Source organism: Homo sapiens, chromosome X (assembly GCF_000001405.40).
Source record: "Homo sapiens chromosome X, GRCh38.p14 Primary Assembly".
In the NCBI taxonomy this organism is placed as follows: domain Eukaryota; kingdom Metazoa; phylum Chordata; class Mammalia; order Primates; family Hominidae; genus Homo; species Homo sapiens.
This window is the reverse complement of record NC_000023.11, coordinates 46758050-46776064: the sequence shown is the minus strand read 5'-3', so window position 1 is coordinate 46776064 and position 18015 is coordinate 46758050. Positions and strand designations below refer to the sequence as shown.

General features: G+C 43.1%; 1 protein-coding gene across 10 annotated transcripts in view, besides 2 other annotated features; it reads left to right on the top strand.

Moving 5' to 3' along the window:
• Window positions 16666–17015: a silencer, noted in NCBI's record as "silent region_20794". NCBI's record gives its function as "represses an Ori minimal core promoter by ATAC-STARR-seq in GM12878 lymphoblastoid cells {active_cell/tissue: GM12878}" and the evidence as "EXISTENCE:reporter gene assay evidence [ECO:0000049][PMID:35858748]".
• SLC9A7 (solute carrier family 9 member A7) overlaps window positions 16947–18015 on the top strand; it is a 159868-nt gene continuing 158799 nt past the window's right edge. For all 10 annotated transcript variants that reach the window (XR_007068203.1, NM_032591.3, XM_017029905.2 and 7 more), the window contains exon 1: window positions 16947–17360. Coding sequence is in view for 9 of the 10 variants with exons in the window: in NM_032591.3 (NP_115980.1) it covers window positions 17036–17360 (325 nt within the window). In the remaining variant the exon portion in view is untranslated. The remainder of the gene's footprint in view (window positions 17361–18015) is intronic.
• Window positions 17036–17175: a silencer, noted in NCBI's record as "silent region_20793". NCBI's record gives its function as "represses an Ori minimal core promoter by ATAC-STARR-seq in GM12878 lymphoblastoid cells {active_cell/tissue: GM12878}" and the evidence as "EXISTENCE:reporter gene assay evidence [ECO:0000049][PMID:35858748]".

Sequence of the window (18015 nt, the reverse complement as noted above, 5' to 3'; positions counted from 1 at the left end):
GAGGTCAGGAGGTCGAGACCAGCCTGACCAACATGGTGAAACCCCATCTCCACTAAAAATAAAAAAATTAGCCGGGTTGGTGGTGTGCCTGTAGTCCCAGCTGCTAGGGACCCTAAGGCAGGAGAATCACTTGAACCTGGGAAGTGGAGGTTTCAGTGAGCCAAGATGGTGCCACTGCTGCACTCCAGCCTGGGCAACAGAGCAAGACTCCATCAGAAAGAAAGAAAGAGAGAAAGAAAGAAAGAAAGAAAGAAAGAAAGAAAGAAAGAAAGAAAGAAAGAAAGAAAGAAAGAAAGAAAGAAGGAAAGAAAGAAAGGAAGGAAGGAAGGAAGGAAGGAAGGAAGGAAGGAAGGAAGGGAGAGAGAGAAAGAAAGAGAAGAAAGGAGGGAGGGAGGGAGGGAGGAAGTTAGGAAGGAAGGAAGGAAGGAAGGAAAATAAAAGAAATGGAATCTCTGTTTCCAATCCTTGAATCTGGGCTGGCTTTGAGACTTGCTTTGCAGTGGAAGCAACATTATGTGAGTTCCAAGCATGAGGCTCAAGAGGCCTTGTGTTCTTTCTACCTTGTTCTAGGAAGTCCTACCACCACTGCCACATGGGCAAACCCAGAACAGCCTGCTGGATGATGAGAGACCATGTGGAACAGAGATGCTCCATCTCATCTGAGCCATCCTAGACCAGCCCACCCTCAGCTGACCTGGCCACAGACAGCAAATACATGAGCGAGCCCAGCCAAGTTCAGCCAAGCTTGGCCCAGATCAGCAGAATTGCGCAGCTGAGCCCGGTCCAAATTGCCAAACCACAAAATTGTGAGGTAAATAAATATGTGTGTGTGTTTGTGTTTTGTAAGCTACTAAATTTTGGGGGGTAGTTCCTCTCTCAGCAAAAGCTAACTGATAAAATTGGTTTCCCATCTTCTAGTTTTGGCCCCACTACAATGGAGCCTCACCATTGCCACTGTGATGGTCTTTCTAAAGCACCACTCAATCACAATACTCCCCCAACATTTTCCCATTGCCTCTATGTAAAACCCAAACTTCTCAGTTGTACTTCATCTTTCACCAAACAGCCACAGGCTATAACAAGTACCTGCGATTTCCTGGGCCTACAGTGTATTCTTTCACCTCCATACTTTTGTGAATGCTCGCTATGTGCTGAATTGTGTTTCTCCAGAATTAGTGTGCTTAAGCCCAACCCCTAGTACCTCAGAATGTGACTATATTTGAAGATAGAGTCTTTGAAGAGGTGACTAAGTTAAAAAGAGGCAATTATAGGGGACACACACACACACACACCCCCCCCCCCCACACACACACACACAGGGATGGCCATGTGAGGACACAGTAAGAAGGTGATCATCTGGCCGGGCGTGGTGGCTCATGCCTGTAATCCCAGCACTTTGAGAGGCTGAAGAGGGTGAATCACTTGAAGTCAGGAGTTCAAGACCAGCCTGGCCAACATGGTGAAACCCCGTCTCTACTAAAAATACAAAAATTAGCCAGGCGTGGTGGTGTGTGCCTGTAATCCCAGCTACTCAGGAGACTAAGGCAGGAGAATCACTTGAACCCGGAGGGCGGAGGTTGCAGTGAGCTGAAATCACGCCACTGCACTCTAGCCTGGGCAATAGAACGAGACTCAGTCTCAAAAAAAAAAAAGGTGATCATCTGCAAGCCAAGGAGAGAGGCCTCAGAAGAAACCAAACCCACCAACACCTTGGTCTTGGACTTCCAACCTGCAGAACTGAGAGAAAATACTGTTATTTAAGCCACCCAGTCTTTGGTATTTGGTTATGGCAGCCTGAGCTGCCATGTTTTCTTTCTACTGGGAAGTCCCTTCAAACTTTAGTACATCCACACTTGCTACTTCCTCACCTCGCTAATTATGACTTGTCCTTCACACTGAACTCACCACCTTGGGGAAGCCTTCTATTATTCTCTTTAGGCTGGTTAAGTGTCCCTGGTCTGTGATTCCTTCCCTGTATTAGAGCACTTATCTAGATGCTTCAGTTTTTTTTATTGTGGTAAGAACACTTAACATGAAATCTGTCCTCTTAACAAAATTTTAAGTGAACAATAAAGTATTGTTAACTATAGGCCCAATGTTGTACAGCAGATCTCTAGAACTTCTTCATCTCACGTAACTGAAACCTTCTCTCTGTTGAATAGCAATTCCCTATTTCTCCCTACCCCCATCTCATGGCAACAGTCATTCTACTGTCTGCTCCTGTGTTTGACTACTTTATATACCTCATACAAATGATGTCTTGCAGTATTTGTCTTGATATGATTGGCTTATTTCACTTAGCACAATGTCCTCAAGTTTCACCCCATGTTGTTGCATATGGCAGGATTTCCTTCTTTTTTAAGGCTGAATAGTATTTCGTTGTGTATATATACCATGTTTTCTTTATCCACTCATCTTTCAATGGATATTTAGGCTGTTTCCATATCTTGGTTATTGTGAATAATGCTGCAGTGAACATGGGAGTGCAGACATCTCTTTGAGATCTTGATTTCAATTCTTTTGAATAAATACCCAGGAGTAGGAATGCTGGATCATATGGTATTTCTATTTTTAATTTTTTGAAGACCCTCCATACTGTTTTCCACAGTGGCTTCACCATTTTATATTCCCCACCAACGGTGTACAAGTTTCCCTTTTCTCCATATTCTCACCACTACTTACCTTTATTTTTTTGGTACTAGCCACCCTAACCAGTGTGAGGTAATATCTCACTATGGTTTTGATTTACATTTCCTTGATGATTAATGATGTTGAGCATCTTTTCATATATGTGTTGGCCATTCGTATGTCTTCTTTGGAAAAAATGTCTATTCAGGTCCTTTGCCCATTTTTCAATAGGGTTATTTGGGCTTTTTTTGCTACTGAGTTGTATAAGTTAATTGTACATTTTGGATATTAACCCCTTATCAGATATATGGTTTTCAAATATTTTCTCCCATTCTATCGGTTGCCTTTTCATTTTGTTTATTGGTTTCTTTGCTGTGTAGATGCTTTCTAGTCTGATATAGTCCCACTTATTTATTTTTGCTTTTGTTGCCTATGCTCTTGGTGTCATATCCAAAAAATTATTGCCAAGACCAATGTCAAGTGGCATCAGTAACTTTAATGGAACAGGTAACAGCCCTGTAGGTAGACTCATTCTTACTTTGGAATGGAATATGTTACTCATGCCCTGAGTTGCATTATCTTTAATAAGTTTTAATAATATCTTTAATAAGAATTGTTTGAGGAAGTTATATTGCTGTATCAGTTACAAGTAAGATTGGCTGCATAGAACAATGCTTTTCTCCCAACAAATAACAAAATAGCATTTTTCTCTCCCATTTCTCTCAGGTAAAGGAAATCTGGAGGTAGGCTGTCCACAAATGGTATGGTATCTTCGGGTTGTCATTGAGCACTCAGTCTCATGTTTTCATCCTACCATACACAGCACACAGCTTTCATTTTCAAGGTCACATCATGATCCAGATTCGCTGGTGGTGCTTCAGCCATCAAGTCTGTTTTGCAGGCTGGAAAGAAGAAAAAAAGGGGAAGGACAAAAGGTCATGCACTGTTAAAGATCCTAGCTGGGAGACCTGCCCAGAGCTTCCACTCACATTTCACTGAATGGATCTTAGTCCATGGCCATACTTTGCTGTAAGGGAGTCTGGGAAATTTAGTGTTTTGTTTTTGTTTTTTAGCTGGACACATTGACTAGGTGTTTTTTTTTTTTTTTTTTTTTTTTTTTTTTTTTTTGAGACGGAGTCTTGCTCTGTCACCCAGGCTGGAGTGAATGGCATAATTTCGGCTCACTGCAACCTCTGCCTCCCAGGTTCAAGTGATTCTCCTGCCTCAGCATCCTGAGTAGCTGGGATTACAGGTGCCTGCCACCACACCCGGCTAATTTTTGTATTTTTAGTAGAGATGGGGTTTCGCCATGTTGGCCAGGCTAGTCTTGAACTCCTGACCTCAGGTGATCCGCCTGCCTTGGCCTCGCAAAGTGCTGGGATTACAGGCGTGACCTACTGCGCCTGGCCTAGGATTTAGTTACTAAAGAAGAAAGGGATAGAAGAAAAGGATATTGGAGGGTGACTAGTTGTCTCTGCCTCAGCCACAGATAAGTGGCTCATATTAAAACTACTACTGCCAAGATGAATTTGTAGGGACTGAAGTATAAATGCTGTACAAAGCTGATTGGCATAAAGCTCGTAATATTTTGTTCAGCAGAAGGGAAGAGAATATTCTTTTTTTTTATTGAGGTTAAATTACATGTAACCCCAAACCAACCACTTTAATGTATACAATTTGGTGGTGTTTAGTACATTCACAATGTTGTACAACAGTCACCTCTATCTAGATCTAAAACATTTTCATTATTCCAAAAGGAAACCTTAAACCTGTTAAATGCTTGCCCTCAATTACCCCTTCCCTCTCACCCCTAGTAACCACCAATCTGTGTTCTGTCTCTATGGATTTGCCTATTCTGGATATTTGATATAAATGGAATCATGTGTCTGGCTTCTTTCACTTGGCATAGTGTTTTTGAGGTTCATCCACATTATAGCGTTCCTTTCTATTGGTGAATATGGGAGGAGAATCCTCTTAGCAGACACAGTACCATCCTCCATGGCACATTCTAAACAAAGGCTCCAGCAAAAATCGGTTGCCTTATAATTGGGTGTAATGCTCCTGATTAGTCTCGTGGAGGTAGAGCTTAGCACTTGCCTACCCACTCCCTTCTTCATAGCTACTGGATCCTTAATTTTCTTTGAAGCATCAGTGTGCCCTGCCAGGCAATGTCTTGCAACTGCACCAAGCCAATTGTGACAAACTGTTCCCCATTTTTCCAGCCTCTCTTGCAGCCAGAGGTGGCCACTTAATCAAGTTCTGGGCAATGAGATCCAAACAGGAGTTGGCTGAGCCTCAGGGAGATAGGGTTGAGGAAGCTTTCACCTTCTTGATAAAAGGAGAGAGGCTGCAGGGCCCTTCCCACTTTTCCCTGCTCTAAACCTATACCTGATGTTTCCAGTTGCAGTATCTCTTTCTCAATCCTAACAGCTTGGCATGTTAGGATTGCATCCTTGAGTCGTGTTACATCCTTGAGTCACTGAGCTGGTGGTTTCCTACTGAGAGAATGCCTGTTATATGAGCAAGATAAAGTCTTACTCACTTCAGTCTTTGGGAGCAGGTTTTCTGCCACTTACAGCAAAAGCATTTCTAATAAACCTTAAGAGTTCCTTTTAAGTGATCAATTTTCCCATACATGGCAGAGGCAAAAGTTTGCAGCTGCCATGGGAAGAGGATGATCAGAAGGGACTCCTAAGGTTACTGTAGCTAACCCTGAATAGGGTCTGAGGTAGCATTTTTCTAACATGGCTACTGAATCCTAAACATACAGTCCATGTGGGTCTGTACAGACATGAAGGCAAGGGTGCCTGGGTCTTCTCCGTGTCTTTCTGCCTCTCTTGCTTTAAGATAAGGATTATCTATTTATGTTTATGGTATTCAACACATCTGCGAAGGTTCCCCAGGGGCTGTTCGACCTTGCCTGTCATCGACTCACAGAGTGGTGCACTGCAGTGGGAGCTTGGATGGAAGCCCAAATCTGGAAGATGCTAAAAGGAGCTAAAAACTGCAATTCCTACATTTTGCTATCTGTAGTGAGACAGGAACAGGCAGATAGAAGGGACAATCCTGAACTGTTAATAAAACCTTTAGGGAGTATCTTGAGTTCATAATAGGCTCTTCTTGATTTTAAAACATCTTGCTAATAAGGGCATTCTCTCCTGCATTTGCTGAAATATTTTCAGATGAATTTAAGATAATTAAAAAGGAATCTGGAGGTTTCCCAAGGTTTTGCTTAAATGACTCACATTTAGAGGAATCTCAATGTGCATAATGAGAAACATAAAACAAAACTATGAGTGCCTAGAAATGACTTTGCTTTTGTTCTAGAGAATCTGAACTAAGATTATATTTTGAAATTGACTTGGGAGGGATATTTGGTTTTTGGAAATAGAATAAAAAATGAACAGCTCTGGTTTGGAGGTAATAAAGCAGCTGACAAAAATAACCCCTTTATATTTAAAAGTAGCTTTTATTTAATTTGAAACATGCTACAGGGTTACTATAGCATTAAATATATTTAAATCTTTAAATATATTTAATTAAAGATATTTAATGAAATATCATTAAACATTAAAGATATTTAATTAAATATCATTAAACATTCAAGATATTTAATTAAATATCATTAAACATTCAAGATATTTAAATCTTTCCAGTTTCCCCGGACTGAATTGAATTTTAACTATACATATTTACCAACATAGATCAACTAAGTGAATGTTGCCAGCTGATATTCCATAGAAACAGAGCAACAAAAGTAAGAAAGAGGCAGAAAATACATTAGAAAAAAAGCAAATAATGACTAAGAGATATGAATTCTAAATAAAGTAGATGACCAAGAATCCACATGGGGTACCTTGACAAAATATAGAATGCACAAAATGACTTCCAATTAAATTGCATTATAAGTATATAGCTAAATTTTTAAAAACATATCCTCTGCTTTATTTATACTTTATAATAAATGTATTTATTTATTTTGTTGAAATAATTTATTCTTTCAACAAATATTTTTGAACATCTGCTATGTACCAGGCATTATGCTCAATGCATTTTTTAAGCTAGAGCTAAACAAATAAAACAACAGCAAAAAATACAACAGAAGACACTCCATCCCTGCCTCCAAAGAGCTTAATATAAAGTGGGTATATCAATAAATAATCTGATAATATGATACAATGTGGGAAATGTCATGTTAAAAGTAAACAGGAGGCCATGTTTACTTTATAGGTGTGGCGGTGGCTCACGCCTGTAATCCCAGCACTTTGGGTGGCCAAGATGGGTGGATCACTTGAGCCCAGGAGCTCGAGACCAGCCTGACCAACATGGCAAGACCCCGTCTCCACTAAAAATACAAAAAGAAAAAAAAATTGGCCAGGCGTGGTGACGCACGCCTGTAGTCCCAGTCACTAGGGAGGTTGAGGCAGGAGAATACCTTGAACCCAGGAGGGGAGGTTGCAGTGAGCCGAGATCGTGCCACTGTACTCCAGCCTGGGTGACAGAAGACTCTGTCTAAAAAAAAAAGAGTAAACATGAGCTATTAGGAGAAAATATAGGAAACATCCCAGATCCAGATGAAGGAGGCTTCTTGGAGTAGGTAGCATCTGAATTGGGCTTTGAACAACTAGCAGCAGCTGCCAGGTCAAAATGATTGGTAAGGCAAGAGGTGGAGCATAGGCACAGCCCAAAGGTGTAAGGTATCTTGATGCATTTAGGGAAGAGTGAGACGGAGGGGAGGTGGCAGGGGGTGAATCACAAATGTATTATTAGTCAGGATAGGCTACTTTACACTGTGGTGACAACCGTGAAGTAAAATAAAAATTATCTCCCAGACTACATGTCACACAGGCTTTTCCACCCTATAATTTACCATCTCAGCGTGAGGCTTTAGGACTCACTGCAGCAGGTGGAGAGAACACATGCATCTGCTCTTAAATACTTTTGCCCAGAAATGACATTCACCACTTCTACTCTCATTTCGTTGGCCAAAGCAAGTCATAAAGTCACCTCAAACGTCAAAGAGGTGAAAAATGCAATCAATGCAATCCATCTGTTTTGCAAGAAGGGAATCAGAAATATTAGGAACCACCAGCAAAGTCTACCATAGGCCCTGTGTACCGCGCTTTGAAATTGTGATTTTATCTTCAAGTGCAGGAACAAATGCAAGCAGAGGCCAAACAAACACAAGGAATTCAGGGTCAGCTTCACAACTGGTTGCCCTCTGACTCTATACTTCAAGTCTCCAAAGGCTGAGTATCAGTCAGCGTCCACAGGAAAACAGGCCACTACATGTTCCCACAGAGGAGGTTAAGATAAGGAATTGGTTACATAGGTAATGCAGAAATGAGATAGCAAAAAGGCAACTGTGAGAGAACCCAGAGATAATAACTACAAGAAGCAGCTACTATCCCTAAACTTGGAAAAACAACAGGGAAGAGGTAGGATTACCAGAACCTGGCGGTACAGAGCAAAGGCCATGCAGAATAGATATGAGGTCCTCTTAGGATGCCTGGTTGCTGCTGCTGAGGTGCTGCCAATGGGAGGCACTTGTGGGAGAGTGGAAGGCAGCCAGAGGGGAGAAGCTTCCTTCCTGGTTCTTTTTTTTTTTTTTTCCTTGAGACTGAGTCTCCCTCTGTCACCAAGGCTGGAGTACAGTGGCGCAACCTTGGCTCACTGCAACCTCTGCCTCCTGAGTTCAAGTGATTCTCCTCCCTCAGCCTCCTGAGTAGCTGAGAATACAGATGCCGCCAACACACCCGGCTAATTTTCCTATTTTTAGTAGAGATGAGGTTTCACCATGTAGGCCAGGCTGGTCTCAAACTCCTGACCTCAAGTGATCCGTTCGCCTCGGCCTCCCAAAGTGTTGGGATTACAGGCGTGAGCCACCACGCCCCGCCAATGCTAGTGTTTATGCCCATATATTTCATAGTATCCTGTGGGTGTGCCTGAATTTAAGGTTTCAGTTTTCCTCATCTGCCACATTTCAGGGTAACTGAACCCAGGACATAGCTCTTGGGGACTTCTTGAGGCCTTAACCACCGTCTTAAACTAATATAAAGTTGTAGCATGTCCAAGGGTAAGCAGAGGATTTGTTAACACATGACAGAGAGAAATTATTTAAGTTAACTTACAGCAATATTTATTTTTCTTGTACAATTATTTGAATTTAACACATGTACAGATTCATACGACCATCACTACAATCAGAATATAGAATGGTTCCATCATCCCCAAACCTCCCTTGTGTTATCCCTTTATAGTTATACGCTTCCCCTCCCACTTAGCCCCAGACACTACTGATCCATTCTCTGTAACTATACTTTTATCATTTCAAGAATGTCATAAAATGGAATAATATAGTGTGCAACCTTTTGAGACTCACTTCCACTCAGCATAATGCCTTTGATATTCATCCAAATTATTAGTATATCAATTGTTCATTCATTTTTATTGCTGAATGGTATTCCATTGTATGAACATACAACAGTTTTTTATTCATTCACCCACTGAAGGACATTTGGGTTGTTTTCAGTTTTTGGCTATTATAAATAAAGCTGCTAATAACATCCATGTAAAAAGCTGGGCGCAGTGACTCACACCTGTAATCCCAGCACTTTGGGAAGCCGAGGCGGGTGGATCACTTGAGGTCGGGAGTTCAAGATCAGCCTGGCCAACATGGTGAAACCCTGTCTCTACTAAAAATACAAAAATTAGCTGGGCATGGTAGCACATGCCTATAATTCCAGGTACTTGGGAGGCTGAGGCATAAGAATTGCTTGAACCTGGGAGGCGGAAGGTGCAGTGAGCCAAGATTGTGCCACTGCACTCCAGCCTGGGTGACAGAGCGAGACTCTGTCTCAAAACAACAACAAAAAAATCCATGTGCAGGTTTTTGGATGAACACATTTTCACTTCCCTTGGATATATACATATATACCTAGGAGTGAGATTGCTTGTTCTTATGGATAAATGCATGTTAACTTTATAAGAAACTGCCAAACTCTCTTCCAGTGTGGTTTACCATTTTGCATTCCCACCAGCAATGTAAGAGAGTTCCAGGGGCTCTTCGTTCTCATCTCCAATTGGTGTTGTCAGTATTTTTTATTTAGTCATTCTATTTCTAATATTCTAAGTCAATCTAATAGGTGGCAATCATGGTATTAATTTTTATTTCCCTAATGGCTAATGGTGTTAAACATCTCTTCATGTAATGATTTCTCATCCACATACCGTCTTTTGTAAAGTGTTAGTTTAAACCTTCTGCCCATTTTTCAACTGGGTTGTTTTCTTATTAAGTTTGGAGAATTTCTTATGTACTATGGATATAAGTCCTTTGTTGAATATGTTTTGTAAATATTTTCTCCCACTCTGTAGCTTGTCTTTTCATTACTTTAAAAGTGTCTTTTGCAGAGCAAAAACTTTTAATTTTGATGCAGTCCAATTATCAATTTTTTCATATAAGGATTGTGCTTTTGGTGTCATATCTAGGCACTCTTTGCTTAATCCAAGATCAGGAAGGTGTTCTTATGTTTTTTTGTAACTGTTTCACAGTTTTGTATGTTACATTTAAATCTATAATCTACATAAAATTCATTTTTGTACAAGGTATAAGATTTAGCTCAAGGTTCATTCTTTTTGTGTATGGATGCCCAATAATTCCAAACAATTCATTGAAAAGAACGTACCTTGTCCATTTAATTGCTTTTGCACTTTTGTGAAAAATCAATTTTGTATGTAGACCTATTTCTGGACTCTAATTTTGTCCCATTGATGTATATATCTATTCCTTCACCAATGCTACCCTGCCTTAATTATACTTTATTACTTTACATAGTAGCATTACAGTACATCTTAAATTGGATAGTGTGAGGCCTCCAATTTTATTCTTCTTTTTCAAAATTGTTTTGGCTAGTCTGTTACTTTGACTTTCCTATTAATTTTATATTTCACATGGCTATATTCACCAAACATTTTGCTGGGATTTTTATGGAAATTTTATTAAATCTGTATATCAATTTGGAGAGATTTGACATCTTTGCTTAGTCTTTCAATCCATGAACATGGCATGTCTCTTCATTTATTCAGGTCTTCTTTGATTTCTTTCATCAACATTTTATAGATTTTAGCATATAGATCCTGGACATGTTTTGTTAAAAATTTATACCTAAATATTTTTCTTTTATGCTATTGTGAATGATACATTTTAAAGATTTTTTGGCCAGGTGCAGTGGCTTACACCTATAAACCCAGCACTTTGGGAGGCCGAGGCAGGCGGATCAGGTGAGGTCAGGAGTTCGAGATCAGCTTGGCCAGCACAGCAAAACCTTGTCTCTACTAAAAATACAAAAATTAGCCAGGTGTGGTGGTGGGTGCCTGTAATCCCAGCTTGGGAGGCTGAGGCAGGAGAATCACTTGAACCCTGGAGGCGGAGGTTGCAGTGAACCGAGATCGCACCACTGCACTGCAGCCTAGGTGACAGAGCCAGACTCCACCAAAAAAAAAAAAAAATCTCCAGTTGCACATAGCCTGTATATAGAAATATGATTGGTTTTTGTGTGCTGACCTTGCACCTTGAGACCTTGCTAAACTCGCTTATTTGGTTCTAGGATTTTGTAGATTTCATGGGATTTTTCTAAGTAGATGATCATATTATCTATGAATAGGAGAATTTTTCTAATATCCTTTGAGAATTTCTCTTTTTTCCTCCCTTTTCTTTTTGTTCCCTCTGTTTTTAGTTCCTCTGTTTCCCCAGCATTCCATTAAAATTTACATATTGTGATTTTTGCTATATACGTATGCCTTTTATTTCGTTTTTCTGTCTTAGTGCACTGACTTGGAGTTCCAATACAATGTTGACTAAGAGTGGTGATAGTGGACTTCCTTGCCTTTTCCCGACCTTGGGGGGAAAGAATTCAGTCTTTTAAGAATAATGCTAGATATTCTGTGCGGTTTTTTTTTTTGGGGGGGGCGGGTATCTGCTCTTTATCAGGTCAAAGAAGTTCCCTTTTATTCCTATTTTGCTGAAAGCTATCATGAATGGATGTTGAATTTTGTCAGTGCTTTTTTCCGCATCAGTGAATATGATCAGGCAGCTTTTCTTCTTTAGACAGTAAATATGGTGGATTGCATTGAGTGATTTTCTCATGTTGAACAAGCCTTGTAATCCTAGGATAAATACCACTTGGTCATGGTGTACACTTCTTTTTATACATTGTTAGATTCAATTTACTAATATTTTGTTAAGAATTTTTATGTCTAAGTTCATGAGAGATATTGGTATGTAGCTTTCTTTTCTTCAACTGTCTGACTCTCTAGAAGAGACTGTACAGTATTGGTGTTATTTCTTCACACGGAAATCTATTTTTGTTGGATGTATTATTTTTGGTTAACAGTTCTTTCAGCACATTAAAAATGCTGTGCATGTCTTTATGACCTTCTTGGTTTCTGATGAGAAATCCGTAGTCATCTGAATTGTTGTTACCCTGTATGTAATATTTCATTTTTATCTTTCTGCTTTAAACATATTTTTTTGTTTTTCTTTTCAGCAGTTTGAATATAATGTGTCTGTGCTTTGATTCTTTGGGCTTATCCTGCTTGGGTTTTGCTGAGGTTCTTCAATCTGCAGGCTTGTGTCTTTTGCTTTATCTGGAATGTTTTCAGTTATTATATTTTCACATCTTTTTTTCTGTACCACACTGTTTCTCTTCTCCTTCTGTAACTCTAAAGACACAAATGTTAGATATTTTATTATCTCCTATAGGTCTTTGTGGCTCTATTTATTTTTCAGTTTTTCCTCTCTGCTATTCAGGTTGGATAATTTCTATTGATCTATTTTCATATTTACTGACTCTTTCATCTCTATTCTGCTATTGCATCCATCCAATTTTAAAATTCCAGCTATTGTATTCTTCACTTATAAAATTTTTTTTTTTTTTTTTGAGATGGAGTGTCACTCTGTCACCCAGGCTGGAGCGCAGTGGTGCGATCTCAGTTCACTGCAAACTCCACCTCCCAGGTTCAAGTTATTCTCCTGCCTCAGCCTCCCAGTAGCTGGGATTACAGGCACATGCCACCATGCCCAGTGAATTTCTGTATTTTTAGTAGAGATGGGGTTTCACCATGTTGGCCAGGCTGGTCTGGAACTCCTGACCTTGTGATCTACCCGCTTTGGCTTCCCAAAGTGCTGGGATTACAGGTGTGAGCCACTGTGCCCAGCCTAAAATTTCAATTTGGTTCTTCTTTTATCTTTTACTCCTGTGCTGAGCCTTTTATCCTTACATTCATTTCAAGATTATTTGTCCTTACTTGTTGGAGCATCATTATAATAGCTGCTTTAAAGTCTTTTTCAGATAATTCCAACATTGGTGTCACCTCAGCAGTGGTGTCTGTTGTTTGCCTTTTCCCACCCAAGTTAAGATTTTCATGGTTCTTCAGGTATTGAATAATTTTGGGTTGTATCCTGGACATTTTGAATATTATGTTATAGGACTTTGTATCTTGTTTTAATACTATGGGGAAATATTCATATTTTTGTTTTAGTTTGTAATAGACATGCTTGGGTTTAGATCACAAGTTCTGACATGCCTTTTGTGGATAGTGGCTCCAAAGTCAATTCAGTTTTCAAAAGTTTGTAATGCTATTCAGATCTGTCCTACATGTGTTTTATCCAGTGGCTAGTCTAGGGCTTGGGTGGTGGTCTGCCTCTTAGTTCAGTTATCACAGTCTTTGGTATGCTGTTTAGGATCAGATCCATGTGCAGGTTGGGGTGAACCTAGGAGTTCATAAAAACTTTATGAGGACCTTTCCCAAGGTCCTCTCCTCTCTACTGTCTCCTTGGTACTTTGTAATGCCTTGGAGTTCCCCTTTTAATCAATTGGCAAGAAATCTAGACTATTTAATTTATTTAAAGACAGGGTCTCGCTCTGTCGCCCAGGCTGGAGTACAGTGGTGTGATCATAGCTCACTGTAGCCTCGAACTCCTGAGCTCAAGTGAGCCTCCCACCTTAGCCTCTTGAGTAGCCAAGACTACAGGCAAGCACTACAGTGCCCAGCTAATTTTATTTTTAAATGTTTCATAGAGACAGGGTCTTGCTACATTGCCCAGGCTGTTCTCCAACTCCTGGCCTCAACAAATCCACTCACCTCAGCCTCCCAAAATGTTGGGATTACAGGGGTGAGCCACTGTGCCTGTCCAGAAATCTGGGTCTTTATTTAATCCTCTCTGTTATGTATTTCCTGAAACTTTGCCCATGTCTTGGGCCAAGCATCAGGACAGAGAGAGTGAAAAAATATATATCATTGAGGTTTTGGCCCCACTGTCTTGGGACCAGAGCTACTTCAAACAGAGAGGAAGGTTCTCCCCTCCCTTAGCATTTTTTGGGTGCTTGAAGGTATTGCTGTCTCCATTGTCACTGTTGACTGAGGTGCCACAGTGGGATTGCTTATTGGCTAAAATGTAAGAGAATGGAGAAAAGAAAAAAAATGGCACATTTCTCCTACTTTCTCTGAATATTAGGAGACCAATTTTCTGCTTTTCCTGGAGCTCTCTCTGTCCATGTTGATGCTCCCTTCCGGGTGTTAAGCTGCCTTGAGTCCAGTCTAGTGGAGACTGGAGGAAAAAAATGGTAAACTCACCGCCAGTTCAGTTTTACTTCAAATTCTGTTGTTTTTCCTCAGTTTATGTGGTACAATTTACTTTCCAGAGTCCTCAAATAGTTGCTGCATGCATTCTGTTCACATTTTATAGCTGTATTCAGTAGCAGGTAATGGGTTTAGTGTGATTATTCTGTGTTAACTGAAATCAGAACTCCTGTATTATATAGGTTAGTTTTCACACATAAATATGTAGAGATAATGGAGTGTTTTCTTTGGTGTGTATTTGTGAATGGTTGGGACTAGTCTTTTCATACTCTACCCAAGGGAACTACTTTACATAATAAATACTCTTCTGGTTATCTATTGCTGTGGAAGAAACCACCCTCAAACTTAGTAGCTTAAAATAACACCAATCATTTTATTATGCTACAGTTGCAGATGTTGGTTAGGTTCAGCGACATGGTTCTTGCTTGGGGCCTCTCATATGTCTACAGTAAGATGGTGGCTGGGAATGAATTGATTTGAAGACTCATTCATTCACATGTGTGGCATTTGGGCTGGGAACACTCAAAAAGTTGGGTCTCCTGTGGCATCTACCTCTATTGCTACATGGTCTCTCTACATGGTTTCTTCAGTATGTCAGCTTCCAGGTAGCTAGATTTCTTTGTCTGTTTGTTTGTTTTTTTGTTTTTGGAGGCAGGGTCTCACTCTGTCACTCAGGCTGGAGTGCAGTGGTGCAATCTTGGCTCACTGCAACCTCTGCCTCCCAGGTTCAAGTGATTCTCGTGCCACCACCTCCCAAGTAGCTGGGATTACAGGCACACACCACCACACCCGGCTAATTTTTGTATTTTTAGTGGAGACAGGGTTTTGCCATGTTGGTCAGGCTGGTCTTGAACTCCTGACCTCAGGTGATCCGCCCGCCTTGGCCTCCCAAAGTGCTGGGATTACAGGCGTGAGCCACCGTGCCCAGCCTAGCTAGAGTGGAAAGTGACAGAATGAAACAGGCAGGAGCTAGATTACCTTTTATGACCTAGCCTCACAAATCACATAATCTCCATTACCACATTATATTCTTTGAGGGAGTCACAAAGGTCCACTGAGGTTCAAGGGGAGGGAACATAGATGCCCCTTCTTGATGGGGGATGGTAAGGTTCTGGGATTGGAAATATGATTGTGGCCATCTTTTTAAAAAATACAATCCGCCACAAATACTAAGAAGTCTGTACTTTTAAGGTAGCTCCTGAGTTGCCCTTTTCTAAAGAGAGAAATTCTGTCCTTGAGTACTGGGCACCCAAAGGGGCATAATATTATGACCAACACAGTGCCCATCCAGGTTTTAAGTATTTGCAATTTTATTGGAAACCTGTGTGGAACTTCAAGGTATACGGATGTTTGCAGGGGCTGAGTGACTGCCTAGAGGAGTTGGGAAAGGGGCTAGCTAAAATGTAGATGAAGAGATTTCCCTGCTTTAAAGAAACCACTAAACAGCTTTGGCAGAGTGCTCACCTACAGGGGAACCAGGAAGGCTGCAGTACTCCAAAGAGTTTTCTTACCTAATGCTACCTCTACCCTATTATTTCATTTGGTTAAGCATCACCTTCTTCAATGAATCCTCTTAAAAATGCAAACTCCCCTGGGAGCGAAAACATGGGCAGTTTTGGTAGAGATTTCAGAGTGGTTCAATAAACACATGAGTACAGTGCTAAGCACTGGGAACTCAGTGATTAATCTGATCTTGTTTCTTCCTTGACCAGAGGAGCAAGGTGGATTGAAGATTCTAGTTTTCCTGAGAATTTGTTCCAAGAGGCTTCATCCTTCAGAGTCCACGCCATAATTTTGTTCAGAGCTGGGTTTGGTCTTAAGAGTCATTAAAAGACTCTCTGAGCTACCAGGTGAGCAACATAAAAGAAAGGGTCATCAGGGTAACCCCCACCCCCCACCACCACCTTAGGACCAGCTACTGCTCATCTACCAGGAATGGCAAGCGTTCAGTTCCTTCTGGTTCAACCCTATTCCCCAAGGGGATTAGTAGCACAGCGCAGACGAAGTCTATTCCCTCAAGTGAGGAAGGAGATACTTCAATGCCCTCCCCCGATTCCAACTCCTTATCAGTCCTCACATTTGAGTCTGATGAGAACAGAGGTTTGAATGAAACCTAGCAGATTCTGGGGCTGGAAGGGCAACCTGAGAGATGAGGAAAGAGAGGTGTAGGGGCTAACGTGGCTTCGGGGCTGCTCGGTTCACTGACAGCCCCCACTTTACTGGGCCCAGGGCGGCTGCACACTGGCCTGAGATTAAACACTTCGCCGTGGCGCCAGAGACGGGACTCGAGACCGCAAGGCTAGTCACTCCAAGCCGATGCTCCCGCTAGGCGCCGGCGACCTCTGGCGTCCCCTTTCGGAAGTGCGGCGGCGGCTGCCCATGAACTGGCCCCACGACCCCAGACTGCCTGGGCAGGTGCGCCAGGACGGGGTGAGAAGCGCAGAGAGGCAAGCAGCCGGCGGCCGGCCCGCAGACCCGAGGGCAACACCCGGCCCCGCCTGGGTGGCTCGGTTGGCCCGCGGGGCGGTGCGGCGTGGCGCGGCCGGGGGACGAACAGGTGCGCGGGCGGGGGGCGGTGCTTGGGGATCCTGCGCACTGCGCGCGCCCCTCCCCCGCGCGGCCCCGGGCGCAGCCCCGGCCCGGCGCGAGTAGGAGGAGGAGCTGCAGCGGCCACGGCCACTCCGGCAGGTCCGCGGTGCTGCCAGAACCCGCCGACGGCGCGGGCTGCTGGTCCCCGCTCGGAGGAGGCGCGGGGGGCCCCGGGACCATGGAGCCTGGTGACGCGGCGCGCCCTGGCTCGGGTCGGGCTACCGGGGCGCCGCCGCCGCGGCTGCTGCTGCTGCCGCTGCTGCTGGGTTGGGGGCTGCGAGTCGCGGCCGCGGCCTCGGCCTCCTCCTCTGGGGCGGCGGCGGAGGACAGCAGCGCCATGGAGGAGCTCGCTACTGAGAAGGAGGCGGAGGAGAGCCACCGGCAAGACAGCGTGAGCCTGCTCACCTTCATCCTGCTGCTCACGCTCACCATCCTCACCATCTGGCTCTTCAAGCACCGCCGGGTGCGCTTTCTGCACGAGACCGGGCTGGCCATGATCTATGGTGAGCACCCCTGTTACACCCCCCGCCCTCCACACCCCTCGGCCGCCGCGCTCCTCCTGGCGCCGCGCGGTGCTCCCCCTTCACTTGCCAACGTGTTCCGTTTCTTTTACGTTTCCCGCTGCGACGGTGTTGGTTCCCAAGGTCAACTGTCTGCATTTTCTGGCTCTCTGCTACCGTTAAAAACAATTCCACCCCTATTCCACGTTTCTGCATTGGGAACCCAGGAAAATGAAAGGGACAGAGGTGGTCCGGTTCCGTCTGCCCCGTTCGGTCTCTGTTGCAAACCTCTTACCCACCACCTCCCGCTCCAGTTGAGCTCGATAGGGTGTGTGTGCCTGCGTGGTGGCTGGAGGTGGGTGGCTTCCCAGGTGACTGCATCACCTCAGGGGACAGGCCACAGTAGGGAGTGGGGACGAAGTCTGAAAGTGTCTTTGCTTGGGTATGGGTTAGTGGGGCCTCTTGGACGCCACATCCATGGTCAGCCTGGGTGGGTACCCACTCCTGAGGTCCACATTCCCAGGTCTCTTAATGATAAAGTCAGAGCATGAAGTGTGGTGAAAGGTGAGCAGTGGTCCAGGACCCAGAGTGGGTGGCACCACCATGTCAGGCCTGGACGAGGAGACAGGCACGCCTCCTGCTCTTATGTCCCGAGTGG